Source organism: Homo sapiens, chromosome 2 (assembly GCF_000001405.40).
Source record: "Homo sapiens chromosome 2, GRCh38.p14 Primary Assembly".
In the NCBI taxonomy this organism is placed as follows: domain Eukaryota; kingdom Metazoa; phylum Chordata; class Mammalia; order Primates; family Hominidae; genus Homo; species Homo sapiens.
In genome coordinates this window covers 171,190,405-171,218,255 of record NC_000002.12, presented here as the reverse complement: position 1 = coordinate 171,218,255, position 27,851 = coordinate 171,190,405, and the positions used below count along the sequence as shown (strand labels likewise).

Here is a 27,851-nt window from a genome sequence, read left to right as displayed (position 1 = left end):
TTATGCGATGGAGTCTCCCTCTGTCACCAGGCTGGAGTGCAGTGATGCAATCTCAGCTCACTGCAACCTCTGCCTCTGGGTTTAAGCAATTCTCCTGCCTCAACCTCCCGAGTAGCTGGAACTACAGGCATGTGCCACCACACCTGGCTAATTTTTTTGTATTTTTAGTATAGACAGGGTTTCACCATGTTAGCCAGGATGGTCTTGATCTCCTGACCTTGTGATCTGCCCGCCTCCGCCTCCCAAAGTGCTGGGATTACAGGCATGAACCACCATGCCCGGCCTTACTCTGTTGTTTTAATACACCAAGTTTGTAGCAATTTGTTATAGCAGCCATAGGAAACTAATACGGTATTCTTCCCCATCTTTGTCCATGTTCATACAACTTTAAATATTCATAAATGTACACAAACAATTTTAGTCACACATATATATGCAGAAATTTTTGTTATTGCTTTATAAAAATAAGACCATATTACACGTACTCTTCTTTGTTCTCTCTTTTCACTCAACTTGTTTATTGAATTTTGTTCAGAATAATCATTTCACTCTGACTTTGGGCAAACCTGTTTCAAAGTACCTTTATAAGCTTTCATTAGATGTTAATGTCTGAAGCATGTTCAGAGTGCTTTCTCTGCCATCTGACAGTGGTGTCCTCTCAATTATCCAAGCCCTCATGATCAGCTTTGGGAGTTGTGTTCCTCCCTCCTGCTGTCTGCTTTTCATACCCTTCTCCATTCATTAGCGCCTCCACCAGAGGGGGGCAAGGAAATGGAAAAGAGGTGAAATACGACTCCCAAACTGACAAAGAGATCAATGGAACAGGAGGGTCCAGAAACCAGTTCTCAAAATGGTCATTTTTCCTTATGTTAGGGATGCTGGAAGAAACTTCAGTAATAATACCTCCCAAGTTACCTGTGGATTTGAGAGGGAGAATGGTATCTACTGTCTACTCTTGATTTGTAAGTTCGTTTGTCCCATTTTTATTATAATCATTGCAAAAAGCAATCCCTTCATAAATGTTGGAAGAATTCATTCAATCAACAAACACTTATTAAGCATCTATAATGTGGCAGCAATCATGCCAGGCTCTGAATGAATGAATAACTCAGGTTTTTGTTTCTTTCCCTAACAAGTGGGACTCCTGTTCTGTGGCACTGCTGTTGGAAGGTAGGAGGTAACAGTGAAAAAGTAGGGAGGATAAATGCATCAGTTTGGTATCAGTTTCCTAGGGCTGCCGTAAAAAAGTGCTACACACTGAGTGGCTTAAAATAACAGAAATGTGTCGCCTTATACTTCTGTGGGTTAGAAGTCTGAAATCAAGGCAGGGCTGCATTCCCTCTGAATCTTATAGGAAAATTCTTCCTTGGCTCTTCCAGCTTCTGATGGTTCGCTGGCTGTCTTTGGCATGCCTTGTCTTGCAACTGCATAACTCCAATCTCTGCCTTTGTTGTTACATGACGTTTTCCCTGTGTATCTTTGTCTTTACATGGCTGTCTTTTAAGAACATCAGTTATATTGGATTGGGGGCCCACAGTACTCCAGTATGAGCTCATCTTAACTAATTACAACTATAATGGCCCTACTTCTAAATAAGGTCATATTCTAAGGTACTAGGGGTTACGACTCCAACATATGTTTTAGGGGGTGAGGAGGGACACAATTCAACCCATAATAGTTTCTACTTGTCAAATAGACAAGTCAAATAAGACCTTGGAATTCTGGATTTCATTAATCTCGTAAGTTGTTATTCTCTGTTTTTTTGTTTTGTTTTGTTTTTGAGACGGAGTCTTGCTCTGTCGCCCAGGCTGGAGTGCAGTGGCATGATCTCGGCTCACTGCAAGCTCCACCTCCCGGGTTCATGCCATTCTCCTGCCTCAGCCTCCCGAGTAGCTGGGACTACAGGCGCCCACCACCACACCCGGCTAATTTTTTGTATTTTTAGTAGAGACAGGGTTTCACCGTATTAGCCAGGATGGTCTCAATCTCCTGACCTCGTGATCTGCCCGCCTCGGCCTCCCAAAGTGCTGGGATTACAGGCGTGAGCCACTGCACCCGGCCCTTGTTTTTTTAAGGCAGCATAGTGGTTAGTGTGCAACTCTGGAGCCAGAATTAGTTTGAATACTATCTTTACCTCTTATTAACAGGTATGACCTTGGGCAAGTTAACTAATTCCTAGTGCCTCAGTTTGCTGTCTGTAAAATGGAGATAATAACAGAATTTACAGAATTGTTATAAGGATTAAGTGAACTAATGCCAGGAAAGTCCTTAGAACAACGCCTGGCACAAAGAGAATCTTGATATGTGTTAGCTAATTTTATGAAAAATGAGGAACCATGAGTTGATTATTCTTGTAATCAATTCCCACTAGAAAGGGGTGGTGGTGCGCATATTGTTAAAGGGAATAAAGCGTTCCACCGCGTGCATGTACCCGCTGGGGCCTCCTTCTAAGAGGAACCGAACTTCCGAGGAGTGGGCAGCTGCTCACTGCCTATGCTACTAAATTGCCTTTCTTGGCCTCTGACAGACTATAAAGTCAAGAGACTTCCAAAGCCCCCAGAGAAATATTTCTTCTTTTGGACAACCAACCTCTGAAAAACAATTGATTGAAATGTTTTCAAGGAAAATATATCACTATTAGGGAAGCCTATATATATAATTTAAATTTCCTTTGGTTCCTTTTGGATTTCAACTTAAAATGACCTGTAGGCTCTATCAGAGTAAGAGCAATACATCACCGTGCCTGTCTTGGACATTCTTAAAGCAGATTTGCTCTGCCTAGTGTGACCTAACTCCAGCCACAGCAGAGCCTGAATGCAGACTTGATTCCCTCAGATCGCTGAGGAAAAAGAGCATCACAACTGACAAGACTTGGAGAAGAGCACTCTGTTCTGTATTTGTGTTGGAAACTAAACACAATAAGCCATCCTCTTTCCTATGAAACTGAATGTTAGTGTCTTTATGTAGGTGGAGTGGAAGGTGAGGTGGAGAGGATACTGAAAGAGTTGAGAGAGAGAGTGGGCACGGCGGCTCACGCCTGTAATCCCAGCATTTTGGGAGGCTGAGGTGGGCAGATCACTTGAGCCCAGGCATTTGAGACTAGCCTGGGCAACATAGCAAGTGCCCGCCTCTACAAAAACTACAAAAATTAGCCAGGTGTGGTGTTGCCAACCTGTAGTCCCAGCTACTCGGGAGACTAAGATGGGAGGATTGCTTGAACCCAGGAGTTAGAGGTTACAATGGGCCATGATCATATGACTATACACCAGCCTGGGAGACAGAGCAAGGCCCCGTCTCAAAAAAAAAAAGAAAAGAGTTGAAAGAGAACATGATTGCAGGCGGAGTCAGGCTTCAGTTGCTGAATCAAGGCCCATTGTCTTGACTCACTTAAACATCACAGAATTCTTTAGCTGGAAGACCTTGAGGGGTTACTAATTCAGGAGTTGAAGCAAAGTATAGAAAGTAATTTGTTAGAAATAATAAAAGTGCAGCTTATGACTGATTGATTAATTACTAAATTCCAGGGGATTCTAAGTTCTTATCATACATTGGTCCTCAAAGTATGGTTCTTCCAAGACCAGCAACTTCGCATCACCTGGGAACTTAATAGAAATGCAAATTTTTCAGCCTCACTGCAGACTTAACTGAATCAGAAATTGTAGGGTGGGGCCTGGCAACCAATGATTAACAAGCCCTCAAGGCGACTCTGATGCCCACTCCAGTTTGAGAACCACTGTTAAAATTGTATCAATTTAACACACCTGGCATTCAGGTGTGCTTTATCAAGGGAGTACGAATGGGTGAAGTTGTATACAACTAGTGCCTGGGGACTGGGGCACAGAGAGCCATGCATGCGCACATGTCATTCTCAGATGTCCCATTAGGATAAAGACAGACAGTTAGTGACCTTATCTAGACCCCATTGTAGAGATTAAGAAGCTGAGGTGCAGAAGGGTTACGTGACTCACCCAAGCCGTATGGATACTAAGAGGCAGAGAAGACACTAGGTCCCACCTTGCCCAGCTCAGAATTTTCTTTTGTCTTTTTTCTTGAGACAGGATCTCACTCTGTTGCCCAGGCTGGAGTGCAGTGGCTTGATAAAGCTCACTGCAGCCTTGAGCTCCTGGGCTCAAGCAATCTTCCTTCCTCAGCCTCCCGAGTAGCTGAAACTACAGGCATGTGCCACCATGCCCGGCTAATTTTTTTTTTTCATTAAAAATTTTCTAAAACTATTCACCAGAGTCTGAAAGAAGATGATGGCTGCTAGAGGTGAGCTCCACACTCCTCAAGAAAGATATGGCTGGAGTTTGAGACCAGCCTGGTCAACATAACAAGACCTCTTCTCTAAAAAAAAAATTTTTTTTAAATTGCTGGGCATGGTGGCATGTGCCTGTAGTCCCAGCTACTTGGGAGGCTGAGGTGGGAGGATCATTTGAGCCCAGGAGTTTGAGGCTACAGTGAGCCATGATCATGCCATAGCATTCTAGCATGGGTGACAGAACTAGACCTTATCTCTAAAAAAATATAAGCCTCAAACTCCAGGGGTCAAGTGATCCTCCCACCTCAGCCTCCCAACTAACTGGGACTACAGGTGCATGCCATCATGCCCAGCTAATGTTTTTTTACATGTTTTTGTAGAAAGTAATTCTTACTATGTTGCCCTCCCGCCTCAGCCTCCCAAAGTGTTGGGATTATAGGAATGAGCCACCGGGCCCAAACTAAAATAAATTTTTTTTTTTAAAAAAAAGATATAGGCCTGGCATGGTGGCTCATAGCTGTAATCCTGGCACTTTGGGAGGTCGAGGTGAGAGGACTGCTTGAGCCCAGGAATTCAAGATCCACCTGGGCAATACTGTGAAACACTGTCTCTACAAAAAATACATAAATTAGCTGGGCACGGTGGTGCATGCCTGTAGTCCCAGCTACCTGGCAGGCTGAGGTTGGGAGGATCACCCGAGCCCAGGAGGTCGAGGCTGCAGTGAGCCATGATTGTCATGCCACTGTACTCCAGCCTGGGCAAAAGACCCTGTCTCAAAAAAAAAAAGAAAAGAAAAGAAAAGAAAAAGAAAGATATGGCCTGATATAGAGCCCTGTAGTCTAGCGGAGCCAGACTTGGAATTCACCCATTAGCAAAACCTTTTGGAGATAAAAATATTTTTTCTAAAAAAAAATTTTTTTAGAAAAGGCTTTATAACTTTTCACTTTGGTAAGAAGGACAATTTTACAAAGTAATGTCTACTCTGGCCATAATTTCATAAAGGAGATGACTTTTTTCATAGCAAAGATGTAGATCAGATATGAAATTAGGATAAAACAAGTTTTTTCATGTTAAATACATTTTGCTTGTTTTTTTTAAAAAAAAACAAAACGCTTTTTGCTGTTTTCCTCTTATTTCTTCATGTGCACAGAGCACTAAAACTAAAATGCTGTGTACAATCATAGGAAGCTCAAATATCTTGCTAAAGACCCCTGATTAACAGGGGCTCTGACTGCCTGCCTTACCCCAAATGCAAGCTCTCATCACTAAGTAGGCATTTAATAAATGTCCTTTGATGATAAAAATTATGAGGACAGAGTGGGTTTATAATTTTTTTTACAGTTAAGAAATTACATGCTAGAGGTAGAAAGGACTTAAATTTCTTTTCCGAAGTCACACAACCAGTTTTAAAAGGAGCCGGTGCTGGAACTGAAGTCTTCTATCTCCTGGTTCCAAATCCTTTTCCCTTAGACTCCACTGACATTGATAAAGGACGTCTAAAATGATGTCCCTTATTTCCTTAGGGGGAACATGTTTATTTACCCAGGCAAAGGTATAATGAAATCAAACATCAAGGACCTATTACCAGATATAAAGATAACATCAACTGAACAGATGTTGGGAAAATTGGGGGTGTCAGGTTAAAGTTGCAAAAAGGCAGCATAACAGGGAGTGAAGCTTGGGGGCGGTGGGGGAGGTGAAGGAGGGGGCGGCAAGGGGTGAGGGTGGGGGCAGGGGAGCCAGGAATGTTTCTCTATGATAAAACAGCTGCTGGAGTGGCCAGGCTGAGCTTATGCAGATGTTAATTGATTTCTGGAGGTCCGGAAAGGCTTGTTAGACAAGCTTTAAAACGAGAGGAGGCCAGGCATGGTGGCTCACGCCTGTAATCCCAGCACTTTGGGAGGTAGGTGGATCACCTGAAGTCAGGAGTTCGAGACCAGCCTGGCCAAAATGGTGAAACCCTGTCTCTACCAAAGTACAAAAAATTAGCTGGGCGTAGTGGTGCATGCCTGTAATTCCAGCTACTCGGGTGACTGAGGCAGGAGAATCGCTTGAACCCAGGAGGCAGCGGTTGCAGTGAGCCGAGATTGCACCACTGCACTCCAGCCTGGGTGACAGAGTGAGACTCTGTCTTGAAAAAAAAAAAAAGAGGCCGGGCACAGTGGCTCACGCCTGTAATCCCAGCACTTTGGGAGGCCGAGGCGGGTGGATCACGAGGTCAGGAGTTCGAGACCAGTCTGACCAACATGGTGAAACTCCATCTCTACTAAAAATACAAAAATTAGCCTGGCGTGGTGGGGTGCGCCTGTAATCCCAGCTATTCAGGGGGCTGAGGCAGGAGAACCACTTGAACCCGGGAGGCGGATGCTGCAGTGAACCAACATCGCGCCATTGCACTCCAGCCTGGGCGACAGCGCAAGACTCTAATCTCAAAAAAAAAAAGCATCCATTTAACTCAGATATCACTAGATACATTTATGACTGAGTGTAGTCTGTGCAAAATAGCATTGAACAATTACACTTTTGTATGCACCTCAATGAAGTATCTTTGTATATTATATTTCTGGTGTATTAAATAAGTATAGGGTAAGCCATGCATCTTAGGTGAGTTCAACTACACAAGAAAAGAAAGAGGAAGTGAACTTACCGTGACAAACGGTTTGATATAATTCGTGGTGAAAACCAAAAGGCTTCCTACAACCCAAACCGGTTATAGAAAGGGAGCCAGTAAAAGTAAGTAATAAAACAATGCTTGTTTAAATTTTTGTCGCATGAAAGGCTCTACAGCAATGTAAACTGTGTTACAGGCACTAACATTCTTGTAGGATTCGAGGTCTCTGAATTGTTGAGCATCTGTCTTCAGAGTGCTTTTTAGTATCTAAGAATGTAACATGGGGCAGGAAGCAGAGAAATCAACCAAAAGTAAGGTTTTCATGTGCCCAAAGGATGTCACCGCAAAGATCATAGGAGATAATGTGGACATATCTGAAGAAGTGCCTTCTGGGCTGGCTGCTTATGACTGCTGTCCCTGGCACATCCGGCTGTATATACCTGCTGGCTGAAGTTACTCTCTCAGCCTCCTGGATATATTCAGCTTCAAATGCAGCTTCCCTTCTCCCTCCTGGTAACAGTCAGAGAAGCCTAGATCCTGTTATCAGTTCCTAGATTTCTTCTCAACATTTCACGGCATTCTCTCAATGAATTAACCTTGCCCTAATTTAATTAGCCGGCAAATTCTCCCTTGTAAATTGTCCTAGTTTAGTTTAGTCTCTAGGTGGTTCAGATATAAGGATGTTGCAATACAATGCAAAAAAGTCAGAGTCCGAAGTGTCCGTGAACATTAAGACTGGGTGTTTGTTTGTGTGTTTGTTTTGTTTGACTTTGTTTTTGCACAGGGCATTGTTTTTGTTTACTGTGGTGCTTAGCCCATTGGATGTATTAATTGGATATACTAGTCAGAGATTTTTCTGATTACGTCTGAAATCGAAATTCTTTTCTTTCGCAAATACTTGCCTAGATGTGGTCTTGGTGGGGAGCAGCCCCAGCCAGGGCTATTACACTTAAAGGGAAGATACTGACCATGGCTGGGTGTGGTGGTATGTGCCTGTAGTCCCAGCTACTCAGGAGGATTGCTTGAGCCCAGGAGTTCATTCTCTCCTATAGCCGCATTCTAGCCTAGGCAACATAGTGAAACCCTTGTCTCCTATAAAAAAAAAAAATAATAAAAAAAGAACGTGAAGGTGTGAGTGGCATTATAACCTTATTTCTCTTTCAGAGGGGCCGCTATAATACACACCTTGGTTGCCACATTCCAGTTCAGCTCTATTCATCTAAAAATAATCAGTTGCTTGGCTGATCATGGTACTATAATGACATTCAAATTCAGAACAGTAATACAACTTTTTAACATAAGGAAAATGTAAATAAACATAAATGAAGACATGACACTGTATTTTGATTTACCTGATTAGCTAATAGGAGGTACAAAACAGGCATTCCCATACACTGCCTGTGCCTACAAGCTCCTGGAAATTTTGAGAATGTGTATCAGTATTGTCATTAGTTTGCTAGGGCTGCGGTAACAAAGTTTCATGGATTGGGTAGCTGAAATGACAAAAATTTATTTTCTTTCAATTCTGGAGGCTAGAAGTCCAAGACCAAGGTGTAGGCAAGGTTAGTTTCTTTCAAGATCTCTCTTCTTGGCTTGTAGATGACCGTTTTCTCTCTGTCTTCATATGGTCTTCACTTCGTACATATTCTGTGTCCAAATTTCCTCTTCTTATAAGGACTCCAGGCATATTGGATTAGGGCTCACCTAATGACCTCACTGTAACTCATTATAATTACCTCCTTAAAGATCATATCTTCAAATACAGTCACATTATGAGATATGGGAATTAGGACTTCAACAAATAGACTTACAAAAGGACACATTACTGCGTCAGATTTTGTAAACTATACTAAAGAAATAAATATAATTTCTTAGGTTATAGGAGTATATATTACTTTCTTATAACCTGCTTTTCTTACCCAATATATATTTGAACATTTCTGTGTATATTTAAACACTTACAATATAAATTTTCATCGCTATCTAGCATTCTATCACATAGATACCTAATAATTTATTTAGCAGTCCTAACTTAAACTTAATTTTTTGAATAAGAAAAACATTCATATGGTTCAAAATCAAAACAATATAAAAAGATAAATACTTCCATCCCACCCCTGTTCCATATAAGTAACCCCTTTTATTAGTTTCTTGTGTATTCTTCCAATGTTTCCTTATGCAAATAAAAGCAAATGCAAATACATGCTCTTATTTCCCCTACTTTCTTACACAAAGGGAACACACTATTTACGCTGTGCTGCACCTTACTTTTTCTAAAAAGCAACATATTTCTGAAGCTTCTCCATTATCAGTACATAAAGAGCTTCCCCATTCTCTCCTATAGCCAGAAAATATACAATTGTGTAGCTGAACCATGGTTTACTTAACCAGTGTCTTCTATACAAGGTTGTCTCTAATTTTTCTTCTGTTGCAAACAGAGGGGCAAAGAATAAACTCATACATGTCATTTCCTACAAGTACAGATGTATTGCTAAGATAAATTCCTAGAAGTGGAATTGTTGAGTCAAAGTGCATTTATTATTTTGATAGACACTGCTAAAATGCTCTGCACTGGGCTTGCATCATTTTGCAGTCCCACCTGCAGGGAACAGTAACTAATTTTTCACAGCTTCCCCAAGAGAATGAGTTGTAAACTTTGGGATGGTTGTCAATATCAAATGCCTCATTTTTGAATGTTTAAGTTGCTTCTACTTTTGTTACATTTAGCAGCACTAGGATTAATATCCTTAGAGCTACACCTTTGCTCATTTTAATTATAGCCTTAAAATAAATTTCTTAAAGTTGATTATGTTGTTCTGGGAGTACATGCATTTTTAGGGCTTTTGATCTGTACTATTTTGAGGATTCTTGAAGTCTCAGGGGTTTTTAAGCACGGAGAGGAGAACTCTCCACTCTTATAATGTAATTAATGCTCTAAGTTTATATAGCTAATAAATAAAACTCAGAAAATCAGTTTCCTTGAGCATTTAAACATTGTTTCTAAACATAATTAATTAAAATCCTTCAATGATTTAAAATTTAATTACAAATTTAATTTGAAGGATTATTTAGAATTCTTCAAATGCCTTAAACAACAGTGAGAATAAAACTTATACTTACAATTTAAAAATAGCAACACCATGAATTCAATTTATTTTATAAAAAGTCTATTCTTATACCTTCCTAAGGTTGCAGTAATACTAATTTCTATACTTTCCCAGGATTACATTAATTTTACTAAAGCCAAAAGTAAAAAAAGAAAAAGAAAAAAGAAGACTAAATCAGACTAATTTAGGTTAGAGAGCCTGGGTTGTTAATTTAGTTGAAATAGGCTTGTATCTTTGAAAGTGATTCAAACCTGGCTGGGCGCAGTGGCTCACACCTGTAATCCCAGCACTTTGGGAGGCTGAGGCAGGCAGATCACTTGAGGTCAGGAGTTCGAGACCAGCCTGACCAACATGGTGAAACTCCATCTCTACTAAAAATACAAAAAATTAGTTGGCCGTGGTGGCAGACAGCTGTAATCCCAGCTACTTGGGAGGCTGAGGTCTGAGAAGAGAATCACTTGGACGTGGGAGGTGGAGGTTGCAGTGAGCCGAGATCATGCCACTGTACTCCAGCCTGGGTGACAAAAAGAAAGTGATTCAATCCTGTATCATTGACTAGTCTAGACTCCCCTCCCTTTTAAAAATAGATTTTATTTTTAGAGCCCTTTTAGGATCACAGCAAAATCAAACAGAAAGTATAAAGAGTTCCTATATCCCCCCATCTCCAAACATGCCCAACCTCCCCTACTGTCAACATCCCACACCACAGTGGTACATCTGTTACAACAGATGAGCCAACATTGATGTATCATGATCACCCAAAGTCCATTGTTTGTATTAGGGTTCCCTCTTGGTGTTGTACATTCTATGGGTTTGAACAAATTTATGGTGACATATATCCACTGTTATACTGCCCTAAAAATTCTCTGTGATCTGCTTAATCATCCCTCCTTCCTGCTAATGCACTTACTGATCTTTTAAATGTCTCCCTCGTTTTGACTTTTCCAGAATGTCACGTAGTTGGAATCATACAGTGTGTAGCCTTTTCAATTTGCCTTCTTTCACTTAGTAATATGTATTTTAGTTTCATCCATGTCTTTTCATGGCTTGATAACTCATTTATTTTTAGTTCTGAAGAATATTCCCTTGTAGGATGTCCCACTATTTATCCATTCATCTACTGAAGGACATCTTGGTTGCTTCCAAATTTGGGCAATTATGAATAAAGTTTCTATAAACATCCATGTGCAGGTTTTTTGTAGACATAGATTTCAATTCATTTGGGTAAATACCAAGGAGCATGATTGCTAGACTGTATGGTAAGAGTATGTTTAATTTTATAAGAAACTGCCAAACTGTTTCAAAGTAGTTGTACCATTTTGCCTTCCCACCAGCAATGAATGAACATTCCTGTTGCTCCACATCCTTGTCAGCACTTGGTGTTGTCAGTGTTTTGAATTTTGCCCATTCTCATAGGTGTGTAGTGGTATCTCATTGTTGTTTCAGTTTGCAATTCCCTAATGACATATGATGTTGAACATCTTTTCATATGCTTATTTGCCATCTGTAGATCTTCTTTGGTGAGATAGGTCCCTTTTTATAGTTAGGTTTTCCTCACGTCAAGGGGACTTTTCATGTCCAGTCCACACTTTTACATAGATTTTAGTTTCTAGCAAGCTGGTCTCTTTTCCTAAAATAATGCATTCTTTTTATTTGCTTGGTCAGCATTACATAAACCAGTATCATGTCCCCATTAAATATTGACCTGGTCTTCTAGCACTGTTGGAACCCGTATATGCCTTACTAGGCCCTAGAAGTGATAGGCCCCTTAAAGGTTTCATCTCCATGCAGACAAGGGGTAGAGATTGTATTGCCCAGCCTCCCTCTTTAGAACATTTGGCTAATCCATCACCTTTCTACCTCTCCTCTCTCATCCATCCTAAAGTTGGTAGGGTTCTTACTGTTTTTCATTATAATTTGGCTATCTCACCATTTCACAACTTTCTCTTTTCTTTCTTAATCAAATAGAGACAAACGCATGCCATATTTTATTAAATGTAAGATGCTATTGATTGTCAGCTGCTTCATTATTTTATGTGCCTCTAGGAAAGAACAAAAACTAATTAAACTATGACACAATGTCTTACTGATAATCTTACATAGTTGAGGAATCAGTTAAAATAGCCTCTCATTGCTCTGAAATTTCTTTCTGTGAGGGATTTGGCCATTTTTCCCATCTTCAGTTGTATTTCTTGACATGTAATAAGAATCTTTTTGCATGTATCTCAGTAACAAAATATAACATAGTTTCATTTACTGCAGTAGCTTTCTTTCTCAGGTCCCATAAAGCACTTAGTTGTTGCATTGGAAAAAAATATGGGAGATATGTTGACATTCCTCTAAAGATGAAGATTTGCTTCACTAATAGCAAATGTACATTCCACTGCTCTGTTTTATTGCCTTTCTGTGTATATAATATTTCATTTCAATCCCAAACTTACAGAGGAAACCTTTATTTTTAGACATTTCAAATAGTGGTTTAACTCAGTCTGTAAAATAACAAACAACAAAGCAGATTACTCAGCTTAAGTGAAGAGAATGGACAGCTGTTACCAAGTGTGAACATGCCGCTCTCCACCCAACAGCAATAAAAAGGCCATCTACTGTAGAACCACCTGAATTTCAGAGGTGTTAAAATATGAAAAGCAGCTGTCTTGGCCTGGTGCTGTGGCTCACACCTGTAATCCCAACACTTTGGGAGGCCAAGGTGGGAGGATCGCTTGAGCCCAGGAGTTGGAGACCAGCCTGGGCAACATGGCAAAACCTCATTTGTACAAAAAAATACAAAAATTAGATGGGTGTAGTGGCATGCACCTGTAGTCCCAGCTATTCAGAAGGTTGAAGTGAGAGGATCGCTTGAGCCTGGGTAGTCAAGGCTGCAGTAAGCTCAGATTGTGCCACTGCACTCCAGCCCTGGTAACAGAGCAAGACCCTGTTGGGGGAAAAAAAAAAAAAAGCTGTCTTAGAATCAATAAGTGTGTACCTTATCATTTCTATAATTTAACTGTCATATATTTAATAGACGATAGATGGAACACCTATGAATGACAACATTCTCCTATTTTTAGAGACAGGGTCTTACTCTGTCTCCCAGGCTGGTGTGCAGTCATATGATCATGGCCCACTGTGACCTCTAACTCCCGGGCTCAAGCAATCCTCTCACCTCAGCCTCCCAAAGTGCTGGTATTACAGGCATGAGCCACCACACCTGCCTATTAAAAATACATTTAAAGAATATAGCATATTCCATTGCACTCACCCTTATTTAACATCATAATTTCCTTTTGTTTTTTATTTACTTAAAATCTTTTTTTTTCTTTTTTTTTTGAGACGGAGTCTCACTCTATCACCCAGGCTGGGGTGCAGTGGCACGCTCTGACCGCAACCTCCGAATCCCGGGTTCAAGTGATTCTCCTGCCTCAGCCTCCCGAGTAGCTGGGATTACAGGCACCGGCCACCACGCCCAGCTAATTTTTGTATTTTAGTAGAAATGGGGTTTCACCATGTTAGCCAGGCTGGTCTCAAACTCCTGACCGTAACTGATCTACCCACTTCAGCCTCCCAAAGTGTTGGGATTACAGGCGTGAACCACCATGCCCAGCCCATAATTTCCTTTTTATATAAAATACGTAGATTTTTCCTTTTTGGAGTGGCTTACAGACTCACAGATTTTCAGATATGTATATCATTTCAATTAGCCATAACTACCTTTTTTTTTTTTTTGGATGCTCAAATGACACAAAATGACACAAGTTGACCAGGCCTGCCTTTAAGCTGGCTCTTTTGTCCTTTCAACATTACTCTGACATTTTAAAAACATCTTTGCTTCCTGAAAACATTAAGATATTCTAAGTCTACCTTTATTTTTCTCCCTATCATAGGACATGGCATTAGCTACTTTTAGTGGTTACTAGAATTTAAGACCAAATCTGGGCACGCACTGGGGTTCCAACTTAGATCGTTCCATTTTAGTATCAGTGTAGCCAGGACGATAGCACTGCTAGGTGCCAATTTAATGGCAGAGCTGGAAAAGGCATTTCTCTTGAAAATCTTGAGTTCATGTCAATTTCTGCATGTGTAATGGAGAAATATTCTAATCGATCTCTAAATCCCTTTAAATTCTGATCTAATCACAAGTTTTAAATTTGTTTTCTATACAAAATGCTTACTTAAATGTTTAACATTTCACTTATCCATAATTTTATCATCTTTTCTTTTTTTTTTCTGAGACAGAGTCTCTCTCTGTTACCCAGGCTGGAGTACAGTGGCGTGATTTCAGCTCACTGCAAGCTCTGCCCCCCACCGGTTCAAGCGATTCTCCTGCCTCAGCCTCCCAAGTAGTTGGGACTACAGGTGTGCGCCACCACGCCCGGCAAATTTTTGTATTTTTTTAGTAGAGATAGGGTTTCGCCATGTTGGCCAGGCTGGTCTTGAAATCCTGACCTCAGGTGATCCACCAGCTACAGCCTCCCAAAGTGCTGAGATTACAGTCATGAGCCACTGCACACGGCCCATCTTTTCTTTTATAATTCTTATATGTCTCATTGATTACCAACCTGTAGTAACTTTAATAACACTGTCAAATTTCCTCTGATATATTCTGTATAAATTAACATTCTCAATGCTCATGCTCCTAGCAGCATTATTTACAGTAGCCAAAATGTGTTAGCCACCCAAGTGCCCATCAATGAATGAATGGATAAACAAAATGTGGTTTATACATGTAATGGAATATTATCCAGCCTTAAAAAGGAAGGAAATTTTGACATATTCTACAATGCGGATGAATCTGAAGGACATGATACATTACATAAGCCAGTCACAAAAAGACAAATACAATGTTATTCCACTTACATAGAGTGCCTAGAGTAGTCAAATTCATACAGACAAAAAGTAGATGGTGGTTGCTAGGGGCTGGGGATAAAGGGTATGGAGAGCTGTTGTTTAATGAGTATAGAGTTTTAGTTTTACGAGATGAATTCTGAAGACTATTTACACAAAATATGAATATACTTAACACTACTGAACTATACATTTTGTATACCATAAAAATGGCCAAGATGGTAAATTTTATATTGTGAGGTATTTTTTAAACCACAATTAAACATTTTTTAAAAATTATGCTCTCACCAAGAGGGCATGGGGATCCTTATTTCTCCTAAAATTACATTTGCAGTAGAAAAAACAACTAGCTTTATTTTTTTAATTTTAAAGAAATTAATTGGAAGAATTAACAATACTTAACAATATATTAATATAGTGTATGTTCCCCCACCACTGAGAGAGAATCCATTGTTTACATCAAATTTCCAAAAACATATGGACCCTAAAAGATGCTAAAAACCATTCTTCTACAGAAATGGAAATTTTCAAAAAGGACTTTGGAAATTAGATCAATATTTTGTCCAATAAAACTATGAGAATGATATTTATATGTGCCAGAATTAAGATTTGAAATAACTTAAAATATTGTTAAGTAGATAAATATAAAGTTCTGTTTTTTTGTTTTGTTTTGTTTTGTTTGAGATGGAGTCTTCCTCTGTCACTCAGGCTGGAGTGCAGTGGTGCAATCTCGGCTCACTGCAACTTCTGCCTCCCCGATTCAAGCCATTATCCTGCCTCAGCCTCCCAAGTAGCTGGGACTACCGGCGCACACCACCATGCCCAGCTAATTTTTGTATTTTTAGTAGACACAGGGTTTCGCTGTATTGGCCAGGCTGGTCTTGAACTCCTGACCTCGTGTTCTGCCCGCCTCAGCCTCCCAAAGTGCTGGGATTACAGGCATAAGCCACTGCTGCGCCTGGCAGGGAAATTCTTTTTTTTTTTTGAGTTGGAATTTCACTCTCGTTGCTCACGCTGGAGTGCAATGGCGCGATCCCGGCTCACCGCAACCTCCACCTCCCAGGTTCAAGCAATTCTCCTGCCTCAGCCTCCCGAGTAGCTGGGATTACAGGCATGCACCACCACGTCCGGCTAATTTTGTATTTTTAATAGAGATGGGGTTTCTCCATGTTGAGGCTGATCTCGAACTCCTGACCTCAGGTGATCCGCCCTCCTCGGCCTCCCAAAGTGCTGGGATTACAGGCGTGAGCCACCGCGCCCGGCCTGAGCCGGGAAATTCTTATACCCAAAAATTATTTGTTATTTGTCTGAAATTCAAATTTAACTTGGCATCCTGTATTTCATCTGTCAACTGTGTGTTTTAGGCATAGTAAGAACTCAATAAACATTAACAAAATCCAGTAACAGTCCCCAACTCGTTTCTACATGAGCCCCTCTTCCCTGTGCAAGGCAAATTGCCTAGATAGATAGATAGATAATAGATATGATTGATGATAGATAGATAGATAGATAGATAGATAGATAGATAGATAGATAGATGATAGCTGATAAATGGTCTTAGGCTAAGTTCATAGTCATAGTGGTGTCTAGACCCACAGAGCTGAGGTTCTCACTGCCCTCTCCAGTTGGTCACATCGAGCTGTAGTAAAGACCTGCAGAGACCGTGCGTGAAGAGATATGACTTCAGGGTGATGGAACAGCTCCCTTTAAGGAACAGAAAACTTTAAGTGAAAGAATCCCTGAGATTTCTTCAGAGTTGTACCAGAGCATTAGATGGGAACCAGGTGGAACAGTTCCTTAGAAGCAGCTTTCAGCACAATATGAGGAAAATTCTCAATGGTTAGAGCAGTCTATAGAGCCAGTAAATGAAAACCTAAATAGTAGTGAGCTTCTTGCCAATTGAGGCTGGATGATCACCTATCAAATGTGTCATGAATGGGATTTCCTAGTTGAGTGGCTGGATACATGACACAGCTGTCCTCAAAAATGCTCTGAAGTGAGGTCAGGCAGGGTTCATGTTGATAGTATGGCTCTTAATAAATGGCAGCTCTCTAGTAATTTCAAAGATGCTTCATAACGATTGATGACAAAATATTAAGTGTAAATCTGTAAATAATGAGATGGCATTTCAATAGTAATTAACAAGCATTGATAAAATGAATTTAAAATTAATCTCAAACATACTCTATGAATGTAAAAACTTTTGTGATGAACTTAGGGTAAGGAAGACAGATAATATAAAAATGGGATTTGAGGCCGGGTGCGGTGGCTCACATCTGTAATCCCAGCACTTTGGGAGGCTGAGGTGGGTGGATCACCTGAGGTCAGGAGTTTGAGACCATCCTGGCTAACATGGTAAAACCCCCTCTCTACTAAAAATACAAAAAACTTAGCTGGGCATGTTAGCATGCACCTGAATTCCCAGCTACTCAGGAGGCTGAGGCAGGAGAATGGTTTGAACCCGGGAGGTGGAGGTTGCAGTGAGCTGAGATTGCGCCACTGCACTCCAGCCTGGGCTACAGAGAGAGACTCTGTCTCAAAAAAAAAAAAAAAAAAGAAGGGATCTGAGCCAAGTGCCTAATTTGACTTGTCAGGAGCAATTTTTAAATGATTTAGATTAATAAAAATAATACAAACTAAAATCTGATTGATTCTAATATATTTCTGTTGCTAATTAAGACTTAAAAGGACCTGATATGAATCTCCCAAATAATTTGTAAAAATACAGATGGGGTCTCACTATATTGCCCAGTGTAGTGCTATTCACAAGTACTATCATGGCACACTATAGCCTTGAACTCCTGGGCTTGATCCTCCCACATCCTTCTCATGAGCAAATGGTATTACAGGCATGCACCACCATCCCCAGGTTCCAAATAATTTTGACTTTGATCCAATTTTATTTAGCTTGCCTGAATTTTAAATTCCTAAGCTTAGGCCTACCTTAATGGATCCCAATACATTGCGGCAAGACTGTAAAATGTGGGCTGCGCAAGTCATTCTAACAGTTCAAAGAAAGGAACCATGGCTTCCAGATAGTCATATGATAAAGATAATTCCAAACCATTGTTGTTGCACAGACCAAAATTTTAAACTCCTTTAAGTAATGATATCACGCAACTGAAATTTAACAACACAGGATGGGGGGGTAGAAAAAACAAGCACTTGAAGGATGAAGCAAAGCACACTTTAAATAATGTAATATAACTGTGGAATGCTGACAAATAGTATCTTGATGGGAGGGGAAAGTGGAAACGCCACAATTTCTATTTCTACCGTGTTTTCCAAAGACACAATTTGCTTATGTTTATGTGTAAACAGGGCTTTATTTTCTAATAGTATTGGTTATGATTTAATCAGGGGAAAAAACTCTTGCTTGGCCTCACCATCCAGTCTCTCACATTTATGCTAGAGGTTCCCTGTTTTCCAGAAAAGGGAATTCTTGAGTCATTGGCCATTATTGTAAGCCATGTCAAAGGTGTGCCCTCTGCTCAGCAGTTACTAATGATCTATTGTGGGAAAGCTTCTTTTTTTACCTTACACTTGCTCTGTTGAAAATATCAACAAAATCTGAGTTTATTTGCTTACCAGTATTCCGTATGACAAAGACATGAAAACATCAAACATTATATTCCTTGATTTCTACTTTGCAGAAACCTTTCAGTAAATTAGGCTCTGAAATTTTCAGATTCTATTTCGAATTTGTAATATGACCCTCCTCCATAATTGAAAAGTTTTTCCCCAGCAAAAGGGACCACTGGATTTACTACTTTGACTGTGCCCCATCCCAAACACACACTTATAGGAAGATCCACTGGCTGAGGGAGCCCTCGAACTTCAGACTGATTCTGGGCTTTAGGACTCAAGGCTCAGAGGCTCAGACAGACTCTGCACTTTGTGGTTTGTTTCTGATTTTTTTTTTTTTTTAACCAGGTCTCACTCTGTCACCCAGGACAGAGTGTGGTGATGTGATCACGGCTCACTGCAGCCTCCATCTCCCAGGCTTAGGTGATCCTCTTGCCTCAGCTTCCCCAAAAGTGCTGGGATTACAGGTGCATGCCACCATAGCCAGCTAATTTTTAAATTATTTGTAGAGATAGGGTCTCCATATGTTTCCCAGGCTGGTCTGTAATTCCTGGGCTCAAGCAATCCTTTCACCTTGGCCTTGCAAAGTGCTGGGATTATAGGCATGAGCCACTGCACCTGATGCTCTTGGGGAGTTTTGAGTTCAGAATGACCTTGGCATGATTTTATGGGCTAGCCTAGAAAACTGATCTGGCAGATACACATGCACATTCCTAATATAACACTACTTTTAAAATAAATTACTTCCAAGCTGCAAACAACTTAGTTACAGATGGCTCTTTGGAAAACAATCCTTTCCCTTTTTTGAAAAACAAATTTTGGGTACATGGTTCTTTCATTAGAAACTTATTGGATGGACAGGACTTGAGTTTTACTTTTAATAATTCATGTTATATATTACCAAAAATGTGATTCTGGTGATGTCAAAGTCATGCTTTGTTCATTTGAATCTATTAAATAAAGTACTTATATGGGAAATAAAACTTACTTTAAAATTGATCAACAGGTAAATAGATAGGAAAGGTCTTAAATAATCATCAGTAAAGAACTAAAACAAGCAAACATTTGCTTTTCTAGATTGGAGGATAAATTTATCAGAGTCAGAATTTCCTCACCATGCAGAGTTTAAAGGCCGTTTATAATTATTCCTCATCTCCATCCTTTAGTCAATCAGGCCTCTTTTCTAACACATCTTTGGATGCTTGTCTAACTTCCCACTCTCATCACTGCCAACCCAACCACCAACTCTATCTAGTCCCAGCTGCTCTTACAACCTGCTAATTGAATAGTTTTAATGGCTCTTTTATACATCTATCCAAATCCACTCCAATCCTCTACTTTGTCACATTCATTCCTGGATTTTTTTCCTTGCAGTTTTGAATGGGCTAATATTTCTATTGAAAATTATTCTACTCATCCATAAGACGCAAATATTTTACATTATTTTTCCAATTGAGATATAGTGGCCATGTTGAACCACTGCTGTTTCTTAAATGATGCCTCTGAGCAGAAAAGCTTCATGCTATAATTAATTGCGCTGACACATTTATAGAATATTAAATGCGCTTACACATTTATATCACACATTAAATATGCATGTCAAATACATTTATAATGTATTTCCAGCTGGCCAGCCCATGTTTCTTTACCGTTATCATTTTTTTTCTCTGTTCTTGCTTACCTCTGGTAACTATAGAACGTAGATGATACTTTCCTTAGTAAATGCTTGGATTTAAACTATGATTAAGAGGAGAAAGACCATCTCCCCTATGCAAGTTGTTCATGTAAACATTTATTGACCATCTACTCTAGGCCAGAAACCAGGGTAGGTACTGAGGATACAAAAATGGACACATCATGTCTATCCACAGGAAACTTTGTCTGGTGCAGTTGTTTCATAATTTAGTGTTCTTATAAGAATCATATAAGGGTACTAGCCAAAAATGCAGATTCTGGAACCCCTAGTTACCCCACATTTTAATTTTAGAAGTTTGGAGTAGAGCCCAAGCATCTGCATTTTAGCAAGTCCTCCAAGTGATTCTTTATTGTTTTTTGTTTGTTTGGTTTTGTTTTTGAGACAGAGTCTCACTCTGTCACCCCAGCTGGAGTGCAGTGGTATGATCTTGGCTCCCTACAACTTCTGCCTCCCGGGTTCAAGCCATTCTCTTGCCTCGGCCTCCTGAATAGCTGAGATTACAAACGTGCACCACCACGCCCAGCTAATTTTTGTACTTTTAGTAGATACAGGGTTTCACCATGTTGGCCAGGCTGGTCTCGAACTCCTGACCTCAAGTGATCTGCCCACCTCCGCCTCTCATAGTGCTGGGATTGCAGGCGTGAGCCACTGTGCCTGACCTGATGCTCCAAGTGATTCTGATGCAGGTAGTCCCTTGATAACACTTTGAAAACATCACATTGAATACTATTGAATGTTTTATATTTGTGCCTATAGTTCTGTACTGTTATCTTTTGGGGGGTATTTTCGGGTTTTTTTGTAAAAAGCTATATAAAAGAAAATATTATTTAACCAGTTTCCTTTTCCTCAAATGCTTTTTTCTCTCTCATTTTTAAATAAGAAATCTTTTCATATTCAGAGATTATCTGTCAAGTATAAGAAAATTTAATGTATGAGCGCTTTTCTAAAAACCTAGAAGTTTATCATATATTTTCCTTATTTTTTTCACCACCATTAGACCATAACACAAAACATAACACTGTTGCAATAATATTATTACTTTACAAAAGTTTAGATTTCAAAGTTTGCTACTGAGTATTTTTTTTCTTTGTACTTTCCCCACACTTAGGGTTCTCCTGCTTCCAGGAGGAAAGAAACATTTCGTTTTTCTAGTCCAACTAAAGGCCCAAATTATGACTTACGTGAAATGTAGCTTCTAGCTATATGCTCATTACTTTGAAAAAGACTATGAAAGTAAGTTTAAGCAAAGCAAAACATAAAATAACCTTACTAAGTTTTTAGAGCTATATTCATATAGGCATAGTTACTTTTGTAACTAATGCTTAAGTTTGATGGAATAGTCCTCCCAATCTGTCTTCAACTTTCTTTGCAAACTCACTGTGAAGTCTCTCATAGAACCAGGCTGACAATGGCCTCCAGACTGCTGCCTTCAGATACCATACCATTTTTTTGTATTTCCCTTGCAAACTGCTTAGTTTTTAGAGCCCATTGAAGGGATGCCCAAGCTCACCATTCTTCTGCACTGACTTCTCTGTAACCTCTGTCCATGTAGCTGGGAAGGGGTTGCGAGAGCGGACATAGAAAAAACATATAGATATATGGCAAACCAAGTAACCATGTCAATTTTTTGAGAACATTTTTAAAAAATCCCCATGAGTTTGATGTTTTCTAATTACCAGGAGACAATTATCCACATTACACTTAAATAAAATGAAAAGGTCTCACCATTTCTGGCTACAAGTCCTGGTGTGGTGGCTCACGCCTGTAATCCCAACACTTTGGGAGGCTGAGGCGGGCAGATCACCTGAGGTCAGGAGTTTGAGACCAGCCTGGCCAACATGGTGAAACTCCATCTCTATTAAAAATACAAAACTGTGCTGGGCATGGTGGTGGGCACCTATATTCAAAGCTACTCAGGAGGCTGAGGCAGTAGAATCACTTGAACCCGGGAGGTAGAGGTTGCAGTGAGCCAAGATCATACCACTGCACTCCAGCCTGGTAGGCAGAGTGAGACTCCATCTCAAAAAAAAAAAACCAGCTACAATGTCCCTCCCTTCCTTCCTTCCTTCCTTTCCTCCTTCCTTCCTTCCTTTTTCTTTCTTTCTTTTTTTTTTTTTTTGATACAGAGTCTCACTCTGTTACTCAGGCTGGAGTGCACTGGTGCAATCTCAGCCCACTGCAGCCTCCACCTTCCAGGTTCAAGTGAGTCTCCCACCTCCCAGGTGAGTCCCAGCCTCCCAAGTAGCTGGGACTACAGGCACACACGAACATTGCAAGACGGGGTTTTGCCATGTTGGCCAGGCTGGCCTCGAACTCCTGACCTCAGGTGATCTGCCAGCCTCGACCTCCCAAAGTGTTGGGATTACAGGCGTGAGCCACTGCTTCTGGCCTACAATGCCTTTTAGCTCATTGGGATCTCAACAGAAAATCTTATAAATGTAATCATTTTAGGTGTTTATCCACATGCTCCACCAAAATGAGATGTAAGAAGACAATATTTTACAAAATGAACAGTGTTGATGATTTAGTAACAATATACTTAATTTCAGGAACAAAAGACAAGGACATACTTCATTATTTCCCAGTAGAAAATAATATATATTCAAATATAGAGCTTATCCATGGTGGATTATGTTTTTTTTTTTTTTTTTTTTTGAGACAGAGTCTTGCTCTGTCACCTAGCTGGAGTGCAGTGGCGCCATCTGGGCTGACTGCAAGCTCCGCCTCCCAGGTTCACGCCATTCTCCTGCCTCAGCCTCCGGAGTAGCTGGGACTACAGGCGCCCACCACCATGCCCGGCTAATTTTTTGTAGTTTTAGTAGAGACGGGGTTTCACCGTGTTAGCCAGGATGGTCTCAATCTCCTGACCTCGTGATCCGCCCGCCTCCGCCTTCCAAAGTGCTGGGATTACAGGCGTGAGCCACCGCGCCCGGCCGGATTATGTTTTATACAAGTACTGTATTCTTCTTAGTGTCTGACATCTTGTCAGGAAAAGGGTGTTTTCAGTTGTGAAGAGTGTTTCACATCTTTAAGGTTGAGGGCTTGAAGGATTTCACTAGTTGAATCTTTACTGACAGCAAGTATACGAAAATGCATATCAGAGAAATTTTGCTGCTGACTTCAACTTGCCAGCCACAGACATTCTGCATTTTGAACTGATTGAGGAAAGGGCTGTGTTAGAAAAGGAGCAGTGAATGAGCAGAGCAGTGATTCGTGTAGTGATTGCCAAGAACCTTGTGTTTCAATCCTCCCTCTTTTTTCTAATATAACCAAATGAATTTTTCTCTTAATGAAAAATAATTACAATGGCTTTTACTTTTTTTTTTTTTTTTTTTTCCCTGAGACGGAGTCTCGCTCTGTCGCCCAGGCTGGAGTGCAGTGGCGCGATCTGGGCTCACTGCAAGCTCCGCCTCCCAGGTTCACGCCATTCTCCTGCCTCAGCCTCCGGAGTAGCTGGGACTACAGGCGCCCGCTACCACGCCCGGCTAATTTTTTGTATTTTTAGTAGAGATGGAGTTTCACCGTGTTAGCCAGGATGGTCTCGATCTCCTGACCTCGTGATCCGCCCGCCTCGGCCTCCCAAAGTGCTGGGATTACAGGCGTGAGCCACCGCGCCCAGCCCACAGTGGCTTTTACTTTTAATTTTTATTCAAATTTTATTTCACTGAACTTTTTCTCAACCCCCAAAGCTTTACTTTGTTTCATAATAAATGGTAGGGAAGTTAAAGATACATAATAAATGATCGACCTTGCTCATGTATGGGAAAAAACATCACAGGATTTCATAAGATTTCTTTACATTCCTCTCTTCTTCAGTCAATTTATTTCTGAAGGTGTGGAAGATGGAATTACAGGCCCCATTGAAGACTGTTTATAGTTATTTGGGTTGTACAGTCCACAAATGGCACAATTATATGTAGAAACCCTGATTGCTGAGGCTCATTTTTCTACACTTCCTAAGTGTTGTGTTCACAGATTAATGTGAATAAGGCTTAAAGAAATATATTTCTTCAATGGCGAGCCCCAACTATGCCCTTCATGTACTGGTGTGTAAGCCATTTGCTTTTAGCCTAAAAGGGAAAATTTTTTTGAACTAGGCATGCTAAGACAAGGGCAATCCCATTATTAAAACAAAAATGACCGGGTGCAGTGGCTCACACCTGTAATCCCAGCACTTTGGGAGGCCAAGGCAGGTGATCACCTGAGGTCAGGAGTTTGAGATCAGCCTGGCCAACGTGGTGAAACCCTGTCTTCACTATAAATACAAAAATTAGCTGGGCATGAGGTGGCGGGTGCCTGTAATCCCAAGCTACTTGGGAGGCTGAGGCATGAGAATTGCTTGAACTCAGGAGGCAGAGGTTGGCAATGAGCCGTGATTGTGCCACTGCATTCCAGCCTGGGCAACAAGAGAGAAACCCTGTCTCAAAAAAAAAAAAAAAAAAAAAAAAAAAAAAAATGCCAGGCGCTGTGGCTCACGCCTATAATCCCAGCACTTTGGGAGGCTGAGGCGGGCGGATCACGAGGTCAGGAGATCAAGGCCATCCTGGCTAACACGGTGAAACCCCGTCTCTACTAAAGAAAAAATATAAAAAATTAGCCGGGCGTGGTGGCGGGCGCTTGTAGTCCCAGCTACTTGGGAGGCTGAGGCAGGAGAATGGCGTGAACCTGGGAGGCGGAGCTTGCAGTGAGCCGAGATCGCGCCACTGGACTCCAGCCTGGGCTACAGAACGGGACTCCATCTCAAAAAAAAAAAAAACGAAAAACTAAGTGATAACAGAAAACAAACAAAAAAAATTAACAGTCACTATGGAGACATATTTATGTCATCTAAGAAACAACGGCTTTGGTGAGGTTTATGAAGTCCTAGGAGGAGTGATTTTCACTCCTCCTAGAGTAGACTTTCATTCTCTCCCAGTATTGATATTTCTAAGTGTGGCTGTTGGCCTCATGTATTTGATTTATGTCAGCATATGGTTGAGCTCACAGATTGCTTTCTTTTACCAAATGTGTGGTTACCAATACTGTATAAGTCTGTACCTGAGCAGAAGTTTTTAAAGAGCTAATTTCAACAAGATTTCTTGCAGTGATTTACACCAGCTTTATTGTTAACCAAGGAAAATTAGCAGGTTTTACACCATAATCATTTAATAGATTCTGTAACTAAAAACTAAAATGTACATATGTTAAAGTATATTGATCTATTAGGCAGCTAATTCCAAATCTGAGAATAATAGCATGGAAACATGATCAAGTAACAACATTTTCCAGAATAATCCTCTCTTGTGAACAGGTTCAAGACCCTTCTTATGAATGACTAGAACAGTCATCAAGATGTTGGAATTTGAAGCATGTACAGATGGCCACAACTCTTAAACTATCTCTAACCTTTTGGCCATGACACCTTAAAGTCCAGTGGTTCAGACTGATTTCTTTTGTTACCAATACTTCTTCTTTATTTTTTTTATTTTTTATTTTTTTGGATGGAGTCTCACTCTGTCACCCAGGCTGGAGTGCAGTGGCATGATCTCAGCTCACTGCAACCTCCGCCTTCCAGGTTCAAGCCATTCTCCTGTCTCAGCCTCCCGAGTAGCTGGGACTACAGGCACGTGCAACCATGCCCGGCTAATTTTTTTTTATTTTTAGTAGAGATGGGGTTTCACTGTGTTAGCCACGATGGTCTTGATCTCCTGACCTCGTGATCCGCCCGCCTCGGCCTCCCAAAGTGCTGGGATTATAGGCGTGAGCCACCGCGCCTGGCTCTGTTACCAATAACTTCTAAATCCAAATGCCCTTTGGAGGGTTGCCACTTGTATTATGAAAATAATAATCGTCAGTCCCGGTGGCTCACACCAGTAATTCCAGCTCTTTAGGAGGCCAAGGCCTGTGGATCACTTGAGCCCAGGAGTTCAAGACCAGCTTGGGCAACATGGCAAAACCCCGTCTGACAAAAAGTACAAAAAAATTAGCCAACATGGTGGTGTGCACCTGTAGTCTCAGTTACCCCAGTGGCTGAGGTAGGAGGATCACCTGGGCCCGGGAGGTCAAAGCTGCAGTGAGCCAAGATTGCACTACTGTACTCTAGCCTAGGCAACAGAGTGAGACTCTTTCTCCAAAATAATAAATGTGTGTTCATCTATTTAGGGCAAAAATTTTCAAAATGTATTCTGAGGTAAAAGGGATTCTGTGGTCAAATTAGATTGGGAAATGCTGAATTAAATCTGGACCTCTCAAAGCCTTGAAGATGCTACTATGCATCTTCCAGGAGATGCATAGTAGCATCTCCTCAATTTATTACATCAAAGAATCAGAGTTTTTAAGCTCATCACAGTTTACAGGACACATTTAGGAAAGTATATTGGCCTTGCTGGGTAAACCCTTTCTTATGCCTCGGTAGAAAGACTGCTAATATAGGTCAATGACAAAAAGAGGAGTTCTTAGGAAGACAGTGGGACCAGGGATTTTAGTTTTCAGTGGCAGAAGTAAGATGATTTAAAACTCAATTTCCCTTTGCTTCCTCCCAAGGCCCTCTCCTGGCTGATGTGAGATGCCTGAAAATGGCCTTCATTGAGGAAGAAAATGAATTCAGGGTGTGGCTCAGGAGAAAGGGGTGGGTATCTCTGGCCAGTTCTGATTCTGACTTGAGAGAGACTCCTGGGCGCAACCAATCCTACTGCCCCAGTCCCTGTAGTAGCTGGGACTGTAGGCACACACTACCATGCCCGGCTAACTTTATTTTCATTTTTTTAGAGGGGGGGGTGGTGGGTCTCACCATGTTGCCCAGGTTGGTCTTGAACTCTTGGCCTCAAGTGAAACTTCCACCTTGGCCTCTCAAAGTGTTGGGATTAAAGGCATGAGCCACCACTCCTGGCTAAGATTGCTTCTTAGTAGGGTTCTTGAGCCATAAGGGCAGATCCTGATTTTATGGGACTTGAAAGTTACCCAATTTGGAGTTAGGGGGAACTTGTTGAAAAGAAGAACATAAATTTTTTTTTTTTTTAAGATGGAGTCTCAGTGTGTCACCCAGGCTAGAGTGCAGTGGCGTGATCTCGACTCATTGCAACCTCCACCTCCTGGGTTCAAGTGATTCTCCTGCCTCAGCCTCCCTAGTGCTGGAATTATAGGCCCGCACCACCACGCCCAGCTAATTTTTGTATTTTAGTAGAGATGGGGTTTCACCATATTGGCCAGGCTAGTCTTGAACTCCTGACCTCAAGTGATCCACCTGCCTCTCCCACAAAGTACTGGGATTACAGGTGTGAGCCACCACGCCCAGCCAGAAGAACACAAAATTAAGGGCAAAAGTGACTATTTAAAATAAGGAAAGAAATCACAATAAATTAGATTTTAAAAACTGATAAATACCATTAAAAATCACAAAGAAAAACATTATAAATTTTATAAACTGCCTGACATGTTCCTAAATTTTTAAAACTATTTTTTGCTGCACGCTTTTTGTTTGCCTCTTTATAAAGATTTCACATTTTGAAAGAACATTTTACATAGAATAGAAAGATAATCCAGGCTTTCCTCTAGCAAGTTTGTTTGAAATTTGTTTTGTTTGTTTTTTAAATTGGTAATCTGGAAAAGTTTCTTTCAGCATCATAAGTTGGAAATGTCATGTAAAATTTTAGGATTATTGTCAAACTTTGGAAAACTTTTACCTAGATTCTCTCATGTATCTGATTTGAGAGCATTTCAGATTTTCTTGTGAGTGACTAATGCAACTCCTCCTTGAATTGAAGACACTCATTT

The 27,851-nt window shown here is 40.7% G+C and overlaps 1 protein-coding gene across 1 annotated transcript in view, besides 1 other annotated feature; it reads left to right on the top strand.

The window, feature by feature from the left end:
- TLK1 (tousled like kinase 1) overlaps positions 1-27,851 on the top strand; it is a 240,471-nt gene that overhangs the window by 13,038 nt on the left and 199,582 nt on the right. The gene's annotated exons all lie outside the window — the stretch shown is intronic.
- Positions 13,425-13,598: a silencer, noted in NCBI's record as "fragment chr2:172061168-172061341 (GRCh37/hg19 assembly coordinates)". NCBI's record gives its function as "represses an EF-1alpha promoter that drives an FKBP-Casp9 reporter gene in an ReSE screen in phorbol 12-myristate 13-acetate-treated (for megakaryocytic differentiation) K562 erythroleukemia cells {active_cell/tissue: K562(+PMA)}" and the evidence as "EXISTENCE:reporter gene assay evidence [ECO:0000049][PMID:32094911]".